At 40.9% G+C, this 20,251-nt stretch overlaps 1 protein-coding gene across 3 annotated transcripts; it reads right to left on the bottom strand.

The window, feature by feature from the left end:
• Positions 1,617-10,691, bottom strand: GPX5 (glutathione peroxidase 5). Of its 3 annotated transcripts, NM_001509.3 has the most exons (5): positions 10,472-10,691; positions 6,968-7,121; positions 4,677-4,794; positions 4,152-4,251; positions 1,617-2,611 (listed from the first exon to the last, which is right to left on the bottom strand). In NM_001509.3, the coding sequence occupies exons 1-5, from the start codon at positions 10,556-10,558 to the stop codon at positions 2,405-2,407; spliced, it is 666 nt and encodes a 221-aa protein (NP_001500.1). In that variant the 5' UTR covers positions 10,559-10,691; the 3' UTR covers positions 1,617-2,404. The 3 variants fall into 3 exon arrangements, 2 of the variants coding, with proteins under 2 accessions (NP_001500.1, NP_003987.2); NR_144470.2 differs by lacking the exons at positions 4,677-4,794; positions 10,472-10,691 and adding an exon at positions 7,964-8,246; NM_003996.3 differs by lacking the exon at positions 4,677-4,794 and having other exon boundaries at positions 1,621-2,611; positions 10,472-10,560.

Below are 20,251 nucleotides of genomic sequence, written 5' to 3'. Positions count from 1 at the left end.
TCTACCACCTGCTGAAACAGTTCTGGTGTTTCTACCACATTGAGAGAGAGACATTTTTCTTTTTTTCCGAATAGGAGCCATCCGAACAGTGTGTTGGTTTCTTGACAGAGTGTAAAAATTCTGTATTCAGGGAGAGCGCTCCCATATCAGTGAAGTCTCCTTATCTAACTTTAGGTTGCACTCCCCTTCTTCACGAACTCTGAGAACCTAGTTTGACATGAGGCAGATTCTGAGTGGGAGCAGAGGCACATAATATTTGGCCAGACAGAGTCATCTGCATTGTTTTCAAGCAAGAAGGATATGCTAACCCTCAATAAGAAGGGATGGGCCACTTCTAAAAGTTTTGGGGGTCCTGGAAAATTTGGAGATTTGGATATTCTAATACATCAAACCAGATGTCTCCATGTTGAGATCTCAGCTCACTGCAGCAGCCTTGACTTCTGGGCCGAAGTGGTCCTCTTACCTCAGCCTCCCTAGCAGCTGGGATCATGGGTGTGTGTGCCTCTATGCCTGGTTCTGTTTCTTATTTTGCAGAGATGGGCTTTCCCTATGTTACCCAGGCTGATTTTGAACTCCTGGACCCAAGAGATCCTCCCGCCTCTGCCTCCAAAAGTGCTGGGATTACAGAAGTGAACCACCGTGACAGCTGGAAGCTAACTTCTTTTAGAGTTGTACATACTATTCCTATGATTAAGTCTTGAGCCTGAACTTTCGGTTTTGCTGCTGTTAAGTTGCAGATAGGAGAGGTCCTTTATACATCCCATGGAGAAACACTTTCACAGTTAGCCTTAATTTAATAATATATCATCCTCAGTCTTTAATTATCTCTCTCCAAAACATCAATTTCCTCTGGCAACGACCATCCAATTCTATTACGTTATAATTACCATTCCCCTCATGTTTCTCAAGCACCTAAAACTTCATGTCTGCTAGTGCATATTCTTCCACCAGTTTACCATGCCAGTTCAGGTTTGGCAAAAGTTTTGACAACTGCACTGCTACTTGTGCCAGTAGTTGTTTGTGCTCCACCCATCTTCTCATCATCAACCAGACGGTGAATAATTCAGCTTCAAAAATCTCCTCTTAGTATCTTCTTTCTCAGATCATATTTGGTACCAATAATTACTGGTTGGATTCTCTAGACAGTAGACTCTAAGATGGATATTTGCATTCAGAAAGTTTACTAGGGCATTAACTGACAATCAGTGTGGAGGGTTGGGGGGGGTGGCAAAGAAGAGGAGCAGAATTTGTCAGAGGGAAAAACTGGGGTGCAGTGCAAGCACAAAATGCCACCGGCCTACCCCTTGTGCATGTCTAGAGCTAGTATGGCCCTTCAAAGTTGTGCTAAGTTGAGCAGTCAGGGTTTGGCCTCTATGCCTCTCAGGGATGAGTAACTGGATACAGGCTGCCCTGGAAAGGGGAAAAACTTAGGCTGAGGCAATTCCTGAAGAGGAATGACAACTGAGAGGCATTAGGTGACAACCTTCCAAACATAAATCTTTCTGTCTGGGGGGCTCAGGTCATGTGGGCAATACATCATTTGTGACAGAGTAAGAAGGAGGAGGGAGATAAAATGAGTTCAAGCACCAGACAGGATTTTAAAACCACCATAGAGATTGTCGATGCTGCAGAAAACATTTTATTGGAGACAGTGGCAGGGCTCGTTCTGAAGGTGAGGAATCCAGGGTTGAGATGGGAAATCCCATCCTTCAAAAGATAAAGGGCATTCCTCTCCAGGTGCCATAACCTGAATGCACTAAAGATCAGACAATTAGGAAAACTTTTGTAGGGCCAGAGATAGGTTTTGGGTCCCACAAGCATGGAGATGCCCTCTCTTCTTTTGAAGCAATGTTCTTGCTCCCACAGGAGAATGGCTGGTAGGGGGAGGTGTCATGGATGAAAACTGAGCCAAAACAGTTGGAAACTGATGATACACGTTTGTCCTAGGAGACAAAAAATGTTATGAAGTGGAACCTAAATTGTGTGACTGTGACCCCATTGCTATTTCTACACCTCCAGGGTAGAGAGAGATGGAAGAGTCAGAATGTCTAGGAATGTTCTTCAGGATGTGATGGCCGACTGAACCATTGTCGTGGAAGGATGATTTCCCTCTGGTGGATATGAATGATTCAACCTGTAACAGAGGTCTGGGGATTTTAGGTTTCCATTTGTTTCAGTCTTCACCCACATACTCTTGAGAGGCAAAAGAGCAGTAGCCTTCCAAATATAAATCTAGTTTGTGGAGAGTGGGAATTCTGGCAGTATGTGGCGGTGATTTACTCAGGTGGAGCCCATGCAGGAAGAGAGTGTGGTGAGAAGATGGGTATTCCTTTTTTTTGGAGGGGTGGGGAGAGCAAGTCATTAGGTGAGAAGTAGGGTTGCTCCTGCCCTTAACTCCACCTTCCTATTTGGTTTTGAATTGCTTCAAGTACGCCAGGATGTCTGTCTTGACTGAGCTGACCGTAGCCCGGTGGGACCAGCGCATGACAGGGATTCCATCAGGCCCCACCAGGAACTTTTCAAAGTTCCAACGGATGTCATGGACCTTTACAGGGTCCCAGGATATAGATTTGAATGTGCCCAAAATCTCAGAGGGATGAGGACAGGAGTGCTAAACCAGAGAGATGGAAAAGAGAAACAATGTTATTTCTGCTCCTGGATGATCCAGGCTATTTTTACCCACAGGTAATCCACCCCCTCCTATACCTAGATATTTTAACTTCCTGATATTCCTAAAAAACTCCATAAATTCTTGAATCACCACTATGCCAACTACCAAGAATATTATAGATATTATAGCAAAATCTGCTCTCTTTCGGTTTCTCCCCATAGCCCCATAACAAAATTTTGCTGCCATGGATAAGACATGTTACCTTTTATGCTTTTGGTTTCCTTTTCTTCAAAGTAAATAGCTTGGATTGGAATGTGGTTTTCCAGGTCTTAGGGTTCCATGGGCCACTAATATTTCAATAATTGTCTTTTGGGACCAACACTGAATTACTAATATTTTGTCAAATAACAAAAATTTTTAAAACACCATCATTTTGTCACTTAATTTAAAAAGACCATTGGAAGAATAAACTGCGTGTGGGTCATAATTTGTGAATAAAGGGAAGTCCTATAAGTTAGACGAGTTGAGTTTATAAAAAACTTCCCACACTGTTCTTTTTTGTTTTTGTTTTTGAGACAGAGTCTCGCTGTGTCGCCCAGGCTGGGGTGCAGAGGCATGATACACTGTTCTATTGTCTTCAATTTATTGAGGATATATAAAGTCTTAACATGGACTGGTCTTGGTTCACAGTCCAGCATTTAGGAACAATTCACTTTGGTAATCTTTAGGGTTGTTTCAGCTCTGGCATTCTCTATGTCTAAAAATCAGTGTTTCATAAAAGGTACCTACTACACTGTATCATACCTGTTGGTTTGTTACTTTTTTTGTTTTTGTTTTTTTGAGACAGTGTCTTGCTTGGTTGCCTAGTGTGGAATGCAGTGGCACAATCATAGCTCACTTCAGCCTCCAGCTCCGGAGCTCAAGCAATCCTCTGGCCTCAGCCTCCCGAGTAGTTGAGACTACAGGTACGTGCCACCACACCCAGCTAATTTTTTGATTTGTTTTGTAGAGACAGGGTCTCACTATGTTGCTCAGGCTAGTCTTGAACTCCTGGCCTCAAGCAATTCTCCTGTCCTGCCTCAGTCTTCCAAAGTGCTGGGATTATAGGCATGAACCACCACCCCAGCTACATAGCTAATGGTTTCTAACTCTCTCTCCATTATAAACTCATCAAGAGTACAGACTATGCCTTATTCATCTTTATATCCTTATTATTTAGATTGCTTTATAAGTAGCGGGCATTCATCAAGTGTACCTGGAATGAATTAATGAATGAATGTCAATGAGCAAAAGAGGGTGGTCCTAGTAAAAGTTGCCATTCCACACAACTTTCTTCACCACACAGAGTTAGAGCCCCATAGATACTCACAGATTAATCTCCAGATCAGCATGTGCAATGTGGAATGCTGATCTGGAGATTTTTCTCCACAAAGACCAATCCCACCTCTGGGCATGAGCCCTTGGATCCATTTCTGCCACACCAACTCTATGTTAGCAATATTAGAAAAGAGGAGGAGGCTTATGCCAGGAATTTACTCACCTTCAAGAAACTGAAGACTTTCTGTTCTTTTTCACCATTCACATCCCCTTTCTCAAAAAGCTGGAAACTAGGTACAAATCCTCCCCCTGGACGGACATACCTGCAACAAGCCATAATGTTCCCAGGAAGCTCCAGGATATGCAAGTAAAGATTATAATGGGACACTAGGATTTGAAGTCATGAGAAAGGGGAGAAAGAGGGAAGTATCGTTGTGGGTGGGGAGGAATATGGCCATGTTTTGACTTTGGGCTCTCTGACTCACTTTATTTCTCTCTATCCCATGACTTGTCTCTTTTCCTCCATCCCTTCTGTCCTCCATAGTCCATCCAAGTCTCAGCCAGGGATGGAGAGAGAGTCTGGAAACTGCCAGACGCTCATCACGGTAGGCCAAAGTTAAACTCTGCTTGTAATGCCCCTGAGCCTATTAATCCATACCTCCCCAGAAAGTTCCTGAGCTGGAAGGGCCTCTGGAGACTGAGGAAAGGTACACAGGCGCCTCCTATTGGATTTCAAGAAGACACGTACTTGAGCCCAGGAAGAATCTCTTTGTTATCTCCTGGTTCTTGCTTTCCAAATTGGTTGCAGGGAAAGCCCAACACAACTAGACCATAGGGCTTCAGCTCCTCCTGGAGTGCATTTAGTTCTGCAGTTAGAGGAGGAACAATTTTGGTCTAGGTAGAGGTTCTGCCTTGTGCAAGGATGATTCCCTGGGGTTACCCATTTTACAGAGAAGGAAACAGAGGCCCAGGGAGGGAAACAGCTCTGCATCAGAAGGGCTGTTAGTAGCATAGCTGAAGTTAGAGGCCGGATCTTCAGACGTGCGCTCAAAAGCCCTTTGTCATGGTGCAGTGTTTTCCATACCTGCAGCACATCAGAATCAGCTGAAGGCCCTTTCCTAAAAATAGGGATGCCCAGGTCCCATTTCAGAGAGTTTTCTGTTCCTCTGAAATGGGGCTTAGTCTTCTTTATTATTCAAAAGTTCAACAGGTGACTTTTCTTTTCTTTTCTTTTCTTTTCTTTTCTTTTCTTTTTTTTTTTTTTTTTTTTTTTGAGACAGATTCTCACTCTGTCGCCCAGGCTGGAGTGCAGTGGCGCGATCTCGGCTCACTGCAACCTCCGTCTCCCAGATCCAAGTGATTCTCCTGCCTTAGACTCCCGAGTAGCTGGGACTACAGGCACTTGCTACCATGCCCAGCTAATATTTCTGTATTTTTAGTAGAGACGGGGTTTCGCCATGTTAGCCAGGACTGAGCTTCTCTCCTCTGTGCAGCCTGGCTCACCCTGAGTGGAGTGGAAGTAAAACTGACAAAGGCAAAGACAAACAGAGAAATCTGAAATCAACAATCCTAACATTTTTCAACAGTCCTTAAGATGCTGAAGATGCATTCTTACTAAAAATCCTCAGTAATATGCTGAAAAACAAGCTTCAGCTGCCTTCGTCCACTACCAGGAAGTTTTCCAACTTGTCTGCTCAGACTTTTATAATCATCTTCTTTGTTAACCCTTTCTGAGCCAGATGCCTTTAGTCCCTTGACAAACACTAACCAGTCCCACTCAGATTCAGCTCAGCCAACTGGTACCTCCTCTAGGCCTTTTTAAAAAACAGAGATTGCCTTCCTGTTTTCACAGGGTTCCTCAGTACCCCTCCCTATGTCCTTCTGTTATCTGTTATTTGCAGGGTGGAAACTGAATAAATCGATTCTTAAAGTCCCTATAAACTGGGAAAATAAATTGTGGTCCAATAAATATTATTCAGTCTTAAGAAAGAATGAGGAAATGATCTGAACTCAAATGTATTTTATTAATTAAAAAATCAAGGCAGCAAATAGTATTTATTGTGTGTTATCAGCTGGGGAGGGGGGAGCAGAAACAAGAATATCTATGTATTCTGTAAACAAGATAATATTGGTCTACTGAAGGGAGGGGAAGAAGGTGGAAACCTTTGGTTCTAAAGTTTTTTTCTTTTGAACTTTGAGACTTGTGAATATAATGCTTATTCAAAACATAATTAAAAACAAAAAATGAAGGTCTTATTACTTCAAATATAAGAAGTACATTTGTCTCTGGTATAATCCATCCTGATTGTTATTCACTGATTTTTAAACCACATGCCCTAAAATATGAGAAAATTCTTCCCTGAATAATGTACAAAAAGGGAGGAAAAACTACATCCTAAAAAGGGGTTGAGGTTGGAGAGGGAGTATTTGCTTCTATTACAGCCTCATCCGCCAGCCCTCACTCTAATCAAATGCAGTTCCAGGTATAAAACTCCTTTTTCTTGTCATTGTAAGTTACCTGTAAAACCTTGCAAAAGTCTCAAAAACATGGGTCTTCTGTCCTGTATTTATCAAGAAGACTTCTGGAATCTTCTGAGAGGCTCCTAGTTCTCAAGTATATATTGATTCCCCTGGAAATCTCAGGAAAAAGCAGAGGCAGGGCATGGGGAGGGGGTTAGCACATTTTTTCTGTAAAGGGCCAGATAGGAAATATTTCAGACTTTGTGGGCCACATGGTTTCCATCATCACTACTCCTACAACTACTAACCTCTATTTTACAGCATGAAAGCAGCCATAGGTGATGTGTAAATGAACGGGGACGGCTGCATTCCAATAAAACTTTGTTAACAAAGCCAGGCTGACCAAATTTGGCCTGTCCACCCAAGCTTGCTGACTTCTGATATGGAGGATGAAGTCACTTGATTATGAGTATTTATTTTGGTACATAATTATAATTAAAATATAATTCCAAGTATAATTTAGAATATGATCAGCTGGAAAATTTAGTCCCAAAGAGAAGTAACTATGAATTCTCTTACCAGGATATTGCGCTGTCAGACCACAGTAGGTGGCCACGTTGACGAAGAGGATGTGCTTGCCCACATACTGCTTGAAGGAAACATATTCATTCTTATTAAGTGCGATGGCCTCATAGTCATAGATGGTGCCTTTCTCGTCTTTGTGGCAATCCATCTGGAAGATTTTTTTTAAGTGATAATACTGGTAACAATAATTCCTGGCATCTGTGTAATCTTTCAAAGAAGTCAAAGAATAGTTATGTTCTAACCAAGATCTAGAAAACAAATAAGAGTTGTCTAAAGTGTCAATGACAAGACTGAAACTTGGTTCTTGTAACTTGGAAATAAAAAATCAAGTCTCATAAGCCAGGCAGAGAAAGACAAGCATTGCATGTTCTCACTTATTTGTGGGATCTAAAAATCAAAACAATTGAACTCACGGAGATAGAGAGTAGAAGGATGGTTACCAGAGGCTGGGAAAGATACTAGGAGGGTGGAAGGGAGGTTGGGATGATTAATGAGAAAAAAAAAAGATAGTTAGAAAGAATAAATAAGACCTAGTATTTGATAGCACAACAGGGTGACTATAGTCAATAATAACTTAATTGTACATTTTAAAATAACTAAAAGCATATAATTGGATTGTTTGTAGCACAAAGGAGAAATCCTTGAGGGGATGGATACCCCATTTTCCATAATGTGATTATAACACATTGCATGTCTGTATCAAAACATCTCTTGTACCATATATATATATATATATATATATATATATATATATATATATATATATATATATATATATATATATACACACATATATATATATACACATATATATACACACTTACTATGTACACTCCCCCCTCCACACACACACATAAGAATCAAGTTTCCTATTATTTTGAAAGCTGTGAGATACCAGGAAATACACGGATAATGGAAAAGGATATTGATTCATAAGCTGGGATGGTAGGAGCTGGAAGTAAGTGGGGCCGAAGAGAAAAGCACACTTGCCTTACATGCTTCTGTAAAAAACAGGCTACTCCTTGGCTCTGGATTGAAGGCCTCCTGTCTGGACTCTCTGAGAAGGGAGGGTTTTAAATTGCTGAACTATTTTTAGGATATCTTAGTTGCTTATCTTTCCCCAGGTCTTCTGACCTCTTACTCCACTCATCAGCAGGTAGAGTAGAAAGAACACTGCCCTGGGAATCAGAAGCCAGCTCCATTGTTAAATTCCTTTGTGAACCTGGGCAATTCCCATCCCTGGCCTTCAGTTTCCCCATGAGTAAAATGAAGATATTTATCTAGATTCTTACTAGAACTCCAAGTGGGCTTCCATGTTTAACATTCTAGAATCTAATATTATCCCCACCTTGAATAAATTTCTCCTGTCACTCTCTTACTAACATGGTGGTCATGTAAGCCAATACTCTGAAATCCCAGCTTTTGGTAGCTCTCAAGAAAGGAGATGGAGAACCCTAAAGTCCATCTGCAAGTGAGTCCCTGAAATCTGTTGGGCAGCATCACCCAGCTCATCAGCCCATTGTGCTCTAGGTGTCTAATATCCACTTTCATATTCCATTCCACCTATCCCATTCCTTCTCAAATCTCATGAACATATTAATATTTGAGCAGACTTCCATGCAACATTTGTTAAGTTCCACTTAATATAAATTAGCCCTGCCTGAAATTCTCATTGCATGTTCTTTTATTAAATTCCTCTACAAGGCAGGTCTCATCTTACTCCTCCTCTGTCTCTACCCTTACAGTGTTCATGCAGTACCCCAAGTGTACCGATGCCACAGTGCTCACCAGCACATGCTGATCCCTTTTCTTATACTGGGGAAGCTGCCACAAATTGCTCATGGAATACAGAATATATATGACAGGAATATGAAAAGGAAGCTCTATGTCCAAACCATCCGGTGAGAAAAAGGTGGAAAGGAACTGGCTGGAGAAAAGAGAGAAGGGCATTATTTGATAAGGAATGTCCAGACAAACTAGGATTAAACTAGACTTCCTGGAAATGCAGTAGTCTAGTAAGGATTTTGGTTGAACATCATCTGCCCCCCATTCAGAGAAGGAGTAATGCAAAACAAAGCAAAACAAAACACAACTTTTTTCTAGTCCTGTTATCCCACTGATTTTATCACCAGCATACTAGGTTGTAGCTACTCACTTCTTACTCTTGAGGAAAAAGATATTTTTCTATGCAGGTTTTTACACCTTTCCCTAAATTTATACATATATACATGCACCAGCAAAATTGAGGGATCTATAAAGAGAATATTGTGTAAAAGTATCTGTTTCTATCTCCATGTTACCTAGTTTCAAGTTAAACATTTGCAAGAATTTGCCTTTTTTTTTTCTTTTGCTACTGCAATGACAATCACTCACAGTCATGTTGGGTACCAGTATGCAAAAGCTTAGAGAGACTCTCAATTTGAAGACTTCCTTTAGTCCAGTTTACTTCTGATATTGACTGCTGTTTCAAATTTATTGAAGTCCATATAACGTGTCTCAATTATCTCTAGACGCAGCTTTTATTAAGCAAATTCTGCAGCCCAGAGTCTCCACACTCAATTAAGCACCACAGGTAACATAAAAACCATATCAATTCTCAAAATAGAAGTTCACCCAGGATGTTATCTAGTTAATTTTAGAGGCGAGGGATGGGGAGATGTTATTAGAACTGCATTTTGTAGAATGTATTATATGCATAATAATTGTTATTCACCCACCCATAAGGTAGTTACTGTTACCCATAAATTTACAATGAGATAACAGAGGTTAATTTGTCCAAAGTCAAAAGTGGTAACCCATTATGTAAATGAAAGTTTGCCTTTACCTAACTTCATGATTATTTTCTGCCTCCAAGTTATCGCATTCATTATTATCCTTTCCTAAACTGCCCCTTCTGCTGCCAGACACATGTGTCTTATCAATAAGGTAACGAGCCATGAATTGGGCATAGAACTGAGGCCAGAATCCAAGATGCCTGACTCCAAATCCAGTTGTTTTAGGGCTCTGATTTTTTTTTTCATGTTTTATGTTTCTCTGATAACTCTCTGATTTTATCCATCCTTAAAACTTCCACATTCGTTTTTTCCTCCTCTTCAAGGGGTTGTTGCTGAGCTGTGTCTGAGACAAGTCCACTCAGCTTCTCCTCCAAACCCCAGTCCCCACCTACTCTAAAGCCCATCGCTGTCCCAGCCTCAGACCCAGCTCTGAAGCAGAGACTGATGTGGCCAGAGAGGTCTCCAGGGGACCTCCACCTGAAGAAGGTATGGAGACCCTTTCTTCCCTAGTCATATGGAGACCCTTTCTTCCCTAGTCATATTCAACGCAAGGAATACCCATCCATAGGAATGAAGAAGATTCAAGGAGAAAAAAAAGCAAGGTTTAGGGGAACTGGCAAAGAAGAAGAAAGCAGGAGTTGGAGTCTTACAAGAAGGAGTGGAGGGCAGGGTCTAGAAGTAGGACAGAAGAGTAACTACCATGCCCTCTCTGAAGCTCACTCACCTTCATCTTCTCCTGCTTGGGACTTGTTTGCACAAAGCAGGCTAGGAGAAGGGGAAGCAGATGGACGACCCTTAACTGTGTAGTCATGACTAGTGTTTGTAGATTGCTAGTCTGGGGGCCTGAGGTCTTTGCCCACCTCTGCAGTCTTTTGGTATCTTGGCAGGGACTTAGCCCAAGCCCCCACAGGCCAGTCACAGGGCTGCAAGGATTCCCGACGCATGAGGTCGGGGTGAGGATCACAGAACTCAAACCACATCCTGTCCCACACACACCCCCGTGAGCACTCAGCGCTTACCACTGCAATGAGGACCTGGGACTCATAAGTTCTGGGAAAATTATAAATGGGTGATAGCAAGCCCTCTGAGGTCCTTAAACACGGCTGTCTGTTTTTCCTCAATGTATGGAAGTGTCTAGATGCTGATGCAACCTCCCAGTAAAGTCACTGCAAAAGGGTTGGTCTAGACATTTCAAATGTTATTTCTAATATTATTTGAGCTTAAAAATAAATCAAAGAATGGGCCGGCCATCTAGGATCTCTCAAAAAGAGTTAGGAGGAAACTGGCTCGAGGAGGGGAAATAGTCACAATGTATGCGAAGGACAGCAAATTAATACAAATCCTTAGAAATGATTTCAAGTGCTTATATATCAGTAAGAAAAAACTACCAGACCAACAGAAAAAAATGGGCATGAGGCAGAAAATCAAATGGCATCTGTGGTAGGATACAGTGTTCTCTCTCACCAATAATCAAAGAAGTATAAATACGAAAAGACACATTCCACACTTATCAGATTGGCAAAAGTTAAAAGGAATGGTGATTCCCAGCCTGGGCTCCGTCTGGTATAGGAGTCTCTTACACGATGGGTGGGGGAATGGCGAATACTAATGTTGCCAACTTTCTGGACAATAATCTGACATTCTGAATGCAGTGCTTTAAAAAAGTAAATAACTTTTAAAAAATAATATATTTACAAAAATTGCAAGCATTCCTCTTTTTTTTCTATTTTTTTTAACTTTTATTTTAAGTTCAGGGGTACATGTGCAGGTGTGTTATATAGGTAAACTTGTGTCATAGGGGTTTGTTCTACAAATTATTTCATCACCCAGGTATTAAGCCTAGTGCCCAGTAGTTATTTTTCCTGATCCCCTCCCTCCTTCCACCCTCCACCCTCTAATAGGCCCCAGTGTGTGTTGTTCCCCTCTATGTGTCCAGGTGCTCTCATCATTTATCCTCCACTTATAAGTGAGAACATGTGGTATTTGGTTTTCTGTTCCTTCATTAGTTTGCTAAGGATAATGCCCTCTAGCTCCATCCATGTCCCTGCAAAGGACATGATCTTGTTTTTTTTTATGACTGCATAGTATTCCATGGTGCATATGTACCATATTTTATCTAGTCTATTATTGGTGGGCATTTAGGTTGATTCCATGTCTTTGCTATTGTGAATAGATAGTGGCAAGTACTACTCTTAATAGCCTGGAAGCCCAGAGCCCAAGAAGAATCATGGAAATGAGACACAAGTCCCTCTAAAAATAAAGTTGCTTTGCCTTTCAACTGGTATACAAGCCCCATTCATTCAGCAACAGTTTCCAATGACCTCTCAGTAGTCTTGGCTAAAATTTTAGACTATATGAATTGATGAATGCAGGCCTGGAGCCCCGGGAATTTCTGGGTTTCTCACATAAATAACATAGTTAATCACTGCTGACTTCACAGGAGATGGACCAAGACATTCTTCCCTTTTGTCTACCATACAGTTTTAATTTTTGGACCCCTAGCACTAATATTTAATTAATCATGCTCCTAAGTTCACAATCATTTGTCCTTGCAAGTCCCCTCTCTTGTTTTATTTATTATTTATATCCTTTGCTTCCCAAACTCCACTTTCCTTCCCCTCACTATCATAAGTGTATTTAATATGTTTAATATGCATATTATTTGTATTCTTGAACAATTTATATATTCCTCATTAGATTATTAGCTCTTTAAAATTAAAAAAAATTAGTTACTCATTTTTTCCCCCTATTTGGACCTGAGTTTCAAAGGGTTGAATTATACTCTTAAATTTATGGCATTTGTCGTCATTAGGCTGTGCAGGGATTCTCTCACATTAATTAAAAAAATTTTTTTGTCCCCAATCCACTGGCATTTTCCTACCTTTTAGAGAGAAGGAGTGGCAAAGGAACAGATATTACAGACTGGAAAGTGTTGGTGCGTTGGCTGTTTCTAATGCTTTGAAACTACAAGAAAGGAGTGAATTCAGGAACTTAATGGGCTCTAATGAGATAAAGAAATGCTGAAAAATCTGTGGATTAGTGAAAAGGCTCAGGGTTGTTTCCCTCACTGCTCTTCCCACACATCTCCCCTCCTCCCATAAGATTGGCACTGCCAGCCCAGCTTTGCTGAACTTTCATGTTTAGGAAATGATAAATTCTTCCTCTCCAGTTCTAAGTTTGTTTCCAACCAGCCCCCTCCACCAGCCCTGCCTCTTCCAGGTTCACACAAAATCCTGCCTCCACCTCCTTGTAACTGAAGTCTAAGTGAGGTTTAATTCTTGAAGTCTCACTGGGTTTAATTTTCCACCAGTCTCGGGGAGTCTGGGCATTCAAGAGCTCTCTTGGAAAACAGAAGCTTTTGGTTATCTCAGATTTCTGATCTCTTCTTAGAGCCCTTTAATCTAAGAGCCCTCTAATCTAAGGGGAGGAGCCCATGCAATGCCTCACCCTGCCACAAAACACCCCAAGCCCTTCAGGTTTCCTGCTTTGTGGTACCTCCTGGCCCCAGATGCTGACTCGCCTGCCCGTCTCCCCTCTATCACAGTTCAAAGAACTGTGGAGATCAAAATATCAAACCTCATTCCTTCCCAAGTTATGTGACTTTGGGCAAGCTGCTCTCTGTGCCTCTGGCCCTCATCTGTAAAACTGCTAGAATAATATGAACTTCATAGGGCTAATTTTAGGGGAAAAAAAGAGATTAGTTTAAACTTACCACTGGACCCAGCCCAAGAAAAACACCCAGAGTTAATTCAACAGATGAACAAACAGGTGCTCAAATAGAAAATCTGATTTACCCAAAGCCTGTGTTTAGAGATGGCTGCTCCTCCCTTGCTATTATAAATTCCTTACTTTCCTCACCACTTTATCTTTGCTTGTCACACAATAACTAACTTCTAGAGCAGAAGAGAAACTTTCATCATAAACTATGCCTCAATGGTCAGATCAAATGGCCTTCTCAAGCCCCTTGTTCCATTGTTTCAGTTTCCCTGGAGGCAAGATCTCTGTTCAGGGAGCTCATGCTCAGCAGGAGGCCACATGGAGGGACTTCTTGTCATCATCCCCTGATTGTCTCACATAGTAGCTGCCTCCCAGCCAGAGCCACATATCAAATCCCTGTTGCCTCTTTTCTGGAATGCTGAAATCATCTCCTACTTGTCTTCTCTCTTCCAGACTCTTCCTTTCTACAGTTTTTCCTTTACCCTATTGCCACTGGAAACTCTAAACACCTATCTGATATCTTTCCCCCTAAAAAGAGCCAGCGATGCTAACCAGTTTATTATAGCATCAAATCCAGAATCTCCAGCAAGGTATTCGAAGCTCTCCTGATGTGCTCTTAACCTCCTTCTAGTTTTCACTCCCAGTAGCTCCCTATGTGCATCTCTCAGACAGCTACAGTCTTTCCATTCTTCAAAACACACCTCCTTGGATTTAGATTTTTGACCTTGGAGGTCAATGGTGCTGAGAACATTGAGATCCCACCTCCCCTGGTCCAAATTATATACATTACGCAAATTATACATACATATAAGTAATTTGACAGGAGAAGGAATTCCCACTGAAAGACAGGAAATACAATTTTATCAAATTTTACCTATCAAGATTTTTTTTTTTTTTGAGACACAGTTTTGCTTTTGTTACCCAAGCTGAAGTGCAATGGCTTGATCTCGGCTCACTGCAACCTCTGCCTCCCGGGTTCAAGAGATTCTCCTGCCTCAGCCTCCTGAGTAGCTGGAATTACAGGTGTCCACCACCATGCCTGGCTAATTTTTTGTATTTTTAGTAGAGACAGGGTTTCACTATGTTGGCCAGGCTGGTCTCAAACTCCTGACTTCAGGTGATCCACTTGCCTCGGCCTCCCAGAGTGCTGGGATTATAGGTGTGAGCCACCACGCCCGGCCTACCTATCAAGATTTTAGGTGAAAATGTTTGTAGCCTGAGCCATAGATTAAGGCTGAAAAGCCAATCCAGGCCTAAATTAAGCTATAAGGTCTGTCACTTCCTGACTTTAAAAATCCTATAATTACAAGCAGTTCATGATCTTAAACGTGGTGGGACACCTGGGTGGGAAAAATCAATGTCTCAATTGCTGCCTAGTTTTCTCAACCAGACTCCAATTTTTCCTTGAGGTCGTATTCTTATGAGAATAAGTTTTCTGCCCAAGGTCACGTAGTTAGTGAGTGGCAGTTTACAAATTGAAATGAGGGCTTTCAGACTCCCTGTCCTAGTTTCTGGTAATGACTTAATCCTACCTGAAAGTCAACATCAAGTTTTTTGTTTTTAGTTCCTTTGATTAGAAAGGAAATAGGTTTGATTCTTTCTCAGGGACAGTACACCTCTTTATTCAGATTCAAACCATAGCCTCTGAAACCACCCAAGTCTAACTTAGAGAACTCTGTCCACCCTTTGGTTTTACTTGACTATTTTCCGTGAATTAGAAAATCTCCCTTGGCATCTGGCATCTCCATTCAGGCCTCCAGGATTTTTCTTACTCTAGTTTTGTAAGCATGAAGCATAGGATCTACTCCAAGTCTGCCATTTTAAGTTACTATTACTTAAGTTTATACAGAATTTATAGTTTACGAGCCTCTTTCACATCCATAATTTCATTTAGCCCTCACAATCAGCCAGTTACAGAGGTAGCATGGGCATCTTCAGCTCAAATTCGCAATGGAAAAGTAAGTTCAGAAAGGAAAGGCGACTTGGCCAAAGATTCACAATAGTGTAAATGTAGACCATAAACTTGAGTTTCAATTTCAAATCCGCTAGTTGCTTCACCCTCAAGGCTCAATTATTCATAATGTATGTGTTTGGAAATGGAAGCAAATTCTAGAGAGATCACTAAATGTCCTTTGGCATTTAATTTTCATTCTCACGTGTTCTTAACTTTCTGATCTTCCCCAAACATGATGAAGTTTGGGACTCACCTATGGTTGAAGCTGGCTCTGGCCCTAAACCTGAGCCTTCACTGAGGCAGCTGGCCCTGACACGCAGACTTCCTGAAGGGTCTCTTGTTTATGCCAAGCTTTCCTCCTCCAACATGCTCCAGGAAGAACTCTGCTTCTTGGAGGCTGGGGTGGGGAGGTGGTGAGAGAAATAATGTGCACTCCCCTAGATGGTGTTCCTATTACTCCTGCTTTAATGGATCCGGAAGGACGTTGGGGAGAGAGCACTGTGTCCTTGCCCACACACAGGAATTTGAGTGACCCACACCATTCCAAACCAGATGCCCTCACACCTGGAAATTCTGCAGTCTATGACTCAGATCCTTACTGCTCCCCAAGAAAGAATAAATATGCCTCACATCACCAGCACACACTGCAGACCATCACCAACAACTCAATAGAACTGTGGAACATGGAGAATGCCGCTCCTCTACAGGCCTGAATTTACCTATTTGCACAAAGCGGGAGTTGGATCAGAAAAATCACCAAATTCCCTTTTAAGGCAGACAGTTTATTTTCTCAGCTTTTCAGAGATTCTCATCATTGGCACTTATCTGACCAATTCTTACTCCTAGAAGACTGGGAAACACGAGTAACAATCAATACATTTTGAATTCAAACATTCGCCTTATAGGTCATGTTTTTCAGGCCACAACAATATACATAAGAAGCACATGCTCAGTAAAGTTTAGAGATTGTCTCATCCAAGTCACAAGGCCTAGGCAGATAATCTACAACTGTGTCCCCATAACAGTTGCAATCAGAATCTGATTTAGAACAAATTAAAGGCTGAGACAATTTGGCTTCTCCTTTCTCGCTCTGCAATCCCTCAGCCTGTGGCAACTTGTGAAAGGCATCAAAGCCAGTAATAAAACACCAGGTTTTGATATAGAAACACCCTGTAGACATCCCAGAAATATCCCAGGGACAAATGTTGGCTGTCTTCCTGGCTATGATCAGAAGGGGCAGACAATATTTACAGGTGAAGTGATATGTTGTTTGGAATTTAGTTCGGAATAATTCAGTGAGTATGGGTATGTGTGCAAGGGTGGGGGCTGTGGTAACAAGCTTTTTCAGATGTAGGTAAAATGAAATTAGCGGAGAGTTGTATTGATTATAGATGCAGTGGGTAACAGGTATGTGAGCTTAATTATACTCCTCTCTACTTTTTATATATGTTTGAAATTTTCCTTAATAAAAAAGTTGAATTAAAACCTAACAAGCTGGGAGCTTCAAGGTTGGGACCTTCTTTAACTGATGGATAGAAAAGGAATAGAGCAGATAAGAATATATATAAGAGATAAATGGAGCAGGAAGGAAAATGAAAAAAGAAAGAAGAAAAAGAAATAATGGGAACTTATATCAGCATTTATTGAGTTGTTACTGTGTATGCCAGGCATTTCCAGATATAAATTCTTACTTAATCTTTAAAAGTCACACTGTTATGTTCTTTCACAAAAAAAAAGAACTTGATACACTGAAAAATTAAATAACTTGCCCAAAATTGTGTAGCAAGAAACAACTTAAAGCCAGGATTGTTTAAATCCTGAATCCAAACTCTTTTTCTCGTACACAATGAGGAGAGAGAAAAGGAGAAAGTAATGAGAGGTGGCAAAGGGTAAAAAGTGTAGAAGAGAAAAAAAAAAAAAAAGAAAAAAGTGAGATTCAGTGAATTCAGAATCAGGGAAGCAGTTAAGAAGCCTTCCAAAGCTATCACTGGAATAGAAGGTAACTAGGGCTGGCATTACTCAAACCTTGACCCTTCTGAGGGATGATTAATCTTTCATTTTAGGCAAGTTAGCAGAAAATTCATTACCTGCCTTCTGCTGCACTTGCTACTGGGAAACAAGAAATTTTATAGTCTTCAAACAGTGGCAACAACCAGGAGGATCCATGATCTCCCAAATGTTTGTGCCTCCCCTCTGATGGCCCTGCACTGACTTCTTGTGTCTGTGTGTGTGTGTGTGTGTGTGTGTGTGTGTGTGCTCAAGCTAAATTATAACAGAACAGGAATAAGGAAGAGGTAATACAGAATTTGAGTAAAATGATAGAGTGTTACGCCTTGACAATGATAAAAAGCTACTCTCTTTAACACATCCTTTGCTTCTTTCTTCTCCAGTAAGAAAAATGCATTTTTTAAATTTAAAAGAAGAAAAAAATGTAGAACAAAGAGGAAATATAAAGTTAAACCTGAGATATTAATAAAAGTCACCTACTTGTTCTATGTGAATTTGTTGACACAGCACAGACAAGCAGATCTCAAGATAAAAAATTAAAACCTTACATTGCCTGTATTGGTTCTGCAATCAAAGCTGATATTAAAATATTTAGCAGGGCTGGGTTGGATGGCTCATGCCTGTAATCCCAGCACTTTGGGATGCCTAGGTGGGTGGATCATTTAAGATCACCACTTCGAGACCACCCTGGGAAACATGACAAAATCCCATCTCTACCAAAAATACAAAAATTAGCTGGGTTTGGTGGCATGCGACTGTAGTCCCAGCTACTCAGGGGGCTGAGGTGGGAGGATGGCTTGAGCCTTGGAGTCAAAGGTTACAAGTTAGCTGAGATCACACCACTGCACTCCAGCCTGGGTGACAGAGCCAGACCTTGTCCCAAAATGTGTGTGTGTACATATATATTTAGAAGTATGCCATGGGCACAACCAATCAGAACAAATCCTGGGCTCCAACAACTGCCGTGCATATTCCTGTGTATACACACTGAGGACCATCCCTGCCTGCAAGCATGAATGCTAGATGTCTTGGTAGACATGCAAATGTTTTGACTTTCCAAAGCAGGGGAAATGAACTTCAGAACCTAAGAAAAAGCTCCACTTGGCGCTTCTACTACTTTTTAAGACAAATTTTAAACAAGTGAGTTATGAACATATGTGAGTGCTGATCACTGAATGGGAACATAGCTTAACCAAAAATCAACCACAAGCATCTTGATTAAGAAATAAGGAGTAAGTTAAACTCTAGTCCTGGGCAGAAACTTCTTCACTTGGCTTCTTTCTATCCTATAAACTTTAATGTATTTGGTGGAAGACACAAAAGGTATGCTGATCAAATGTGTAGATCATTGATAGATGATAAATATAGCTAGTCTGATAGATGATAGAATTCAGATTTAAAAGATCAATTGCTTGGGTGGATAGACAATAATAGGCACCAGCATTGCAGGGGCAATTCATATAAACTTTGATGTTTATTTGACCTTAAGTTAAAAGTGAACCAATAAAAATTAAAAACTAAAATAAGTGAACCAATAATGTTTCAAAGATACTAGAGAAAATAATGCCATCTTGGACTCTACTGATTAGTATCTAAAGAGTATGCTCTTGATTGATGAAATCAGACCTGAAATAATGTTTCTATCTGTGGACAGAATAGGTTTTAAAATGTAAATTAATAAATCAAGCCAAATTCTAAGGAGGAGGGTGAGGATGTGAACTGGCTCCTAATATATATTAAGGCGTGGTCAAGCTCACCAGAACCCTGATTTGTGACTCAAGTCTCAGAAAGTTACCTCAGAAGTCTTGTTTGATAAAGCTATATCCATCATTTTGAATAAAAATATGTAATTTGTATATCATAAAATATCTCAGGAATGATCCCAAAGTACTTGCCAAGATTTGATCTAGAGTCAACCCCAGATAGGTGGACTCTGGTGATGAAGACAGTTCTATCTACCAGAATCAGAACATTTCTGGAGGGAAGGTTACATCAGGGAAATCTGGCCGATGTCAAATCAGAAAGGACCTTGAGTGCTTCATGGGAGAATTTCAAACTAAAAGTGTAAGAATTTAGGAGGAATTGGGGCACTTTAACATAAGTGATATCAACAAACCTGACCTTTAGAAAAGTCATAGAGGCAGAGTGTGAAGGAAACAGGGACTGGAGAAGATCCTGGAAGTGAGGAGATAGCTAAGGGATGAAAGCAAAATTCCTGGAAGGAGATAACAGGGAACTAAGGCTCCAAAGAAGGATGGGTGAAGGGCAATTGCAGCCCCATGATACCTTCAGGTGCACCAGGGACATGAAATGTTCCTTGTTTCCTCCTGTTCCATGTGTGCTCCTGTACCTTCACTTCTCATTGCTGGAGGCAAGGACCCAAGGTACTCAAAAGTCTATCAAGAATGTGGGAACACCAAAACCTATGAAGTTGGGGTTTTAGGCCATTTGACCTACTGATGAGGTCCATAATGAAATGTCTCCTTACCTCTCAAGGGCTCATTACTACAAGGTGAGCAAATGTAAATTGTCCCAGATAGTAAAGATTTCATCACAGTAATTATGATCCAAATGGAACCAGAGCAAGAGCTCTGGAGTAGGACGCAGAAGTTGCCTTCATTTCACTGTTACCCACCTTGTGACTTTTTATATGTTATCTCTCTCTCTGAGCTTCAGTTTTCTCATACATGAAACTATGTGAATACAGTTCTAGTTGTTTACCATTGTCAGGCCATGTGGTAAGTGCTTTATAGTTATTATCACATTTAATTGTTACAGCAGCCCTACAAGGTAGATAATATTATTATTCTGATTTCACAGATGAGA

This window comes from Homo sapiens, chromosome 6 (assembly GCF_000001405.40).
Source record: "Homo sapiens chromosome 6, GRCh38.p14 Primary Assembly".
Lineage (NCBI taxonomy): Eukaryota > Metazoa > Chordata > Mammalia > Primates > Hominidae > Homo > Homo sapiens.
Note: the sequence above shows the minus strand (reverse complement) of the source record. Positions and strands in the feature narration are given on the sequence as shown.

What these genes read in the sequence shown, in the direction of transcription:
- GPX5 (NM_001509.3), bottom strand. Translation starts at nt 10,558, where the DNA reads ATGACTACACAGTTAAGGGTCGTCCATCTGCTTCCCCTTCTCCTAGCC. An exon ending in CCAAGCAGGAGAAGATGAAG is followed by an intron (nt 7,122 to 10,471) that starts GTGAGTGAGCTT and finishes AAAATCTTCCAG; the next exon opens with ATGGATTGCCACAAAGACGA. An exon ending in AAGTCTTCAGTTTCTTGAAG is followed by an intron (nt 2,612 to 4,151) that starts GTGAGTAAATTC and finishes TCTCTGGTTTAG; the next exon opens with CACTCCTGTCCTCATCCCTC.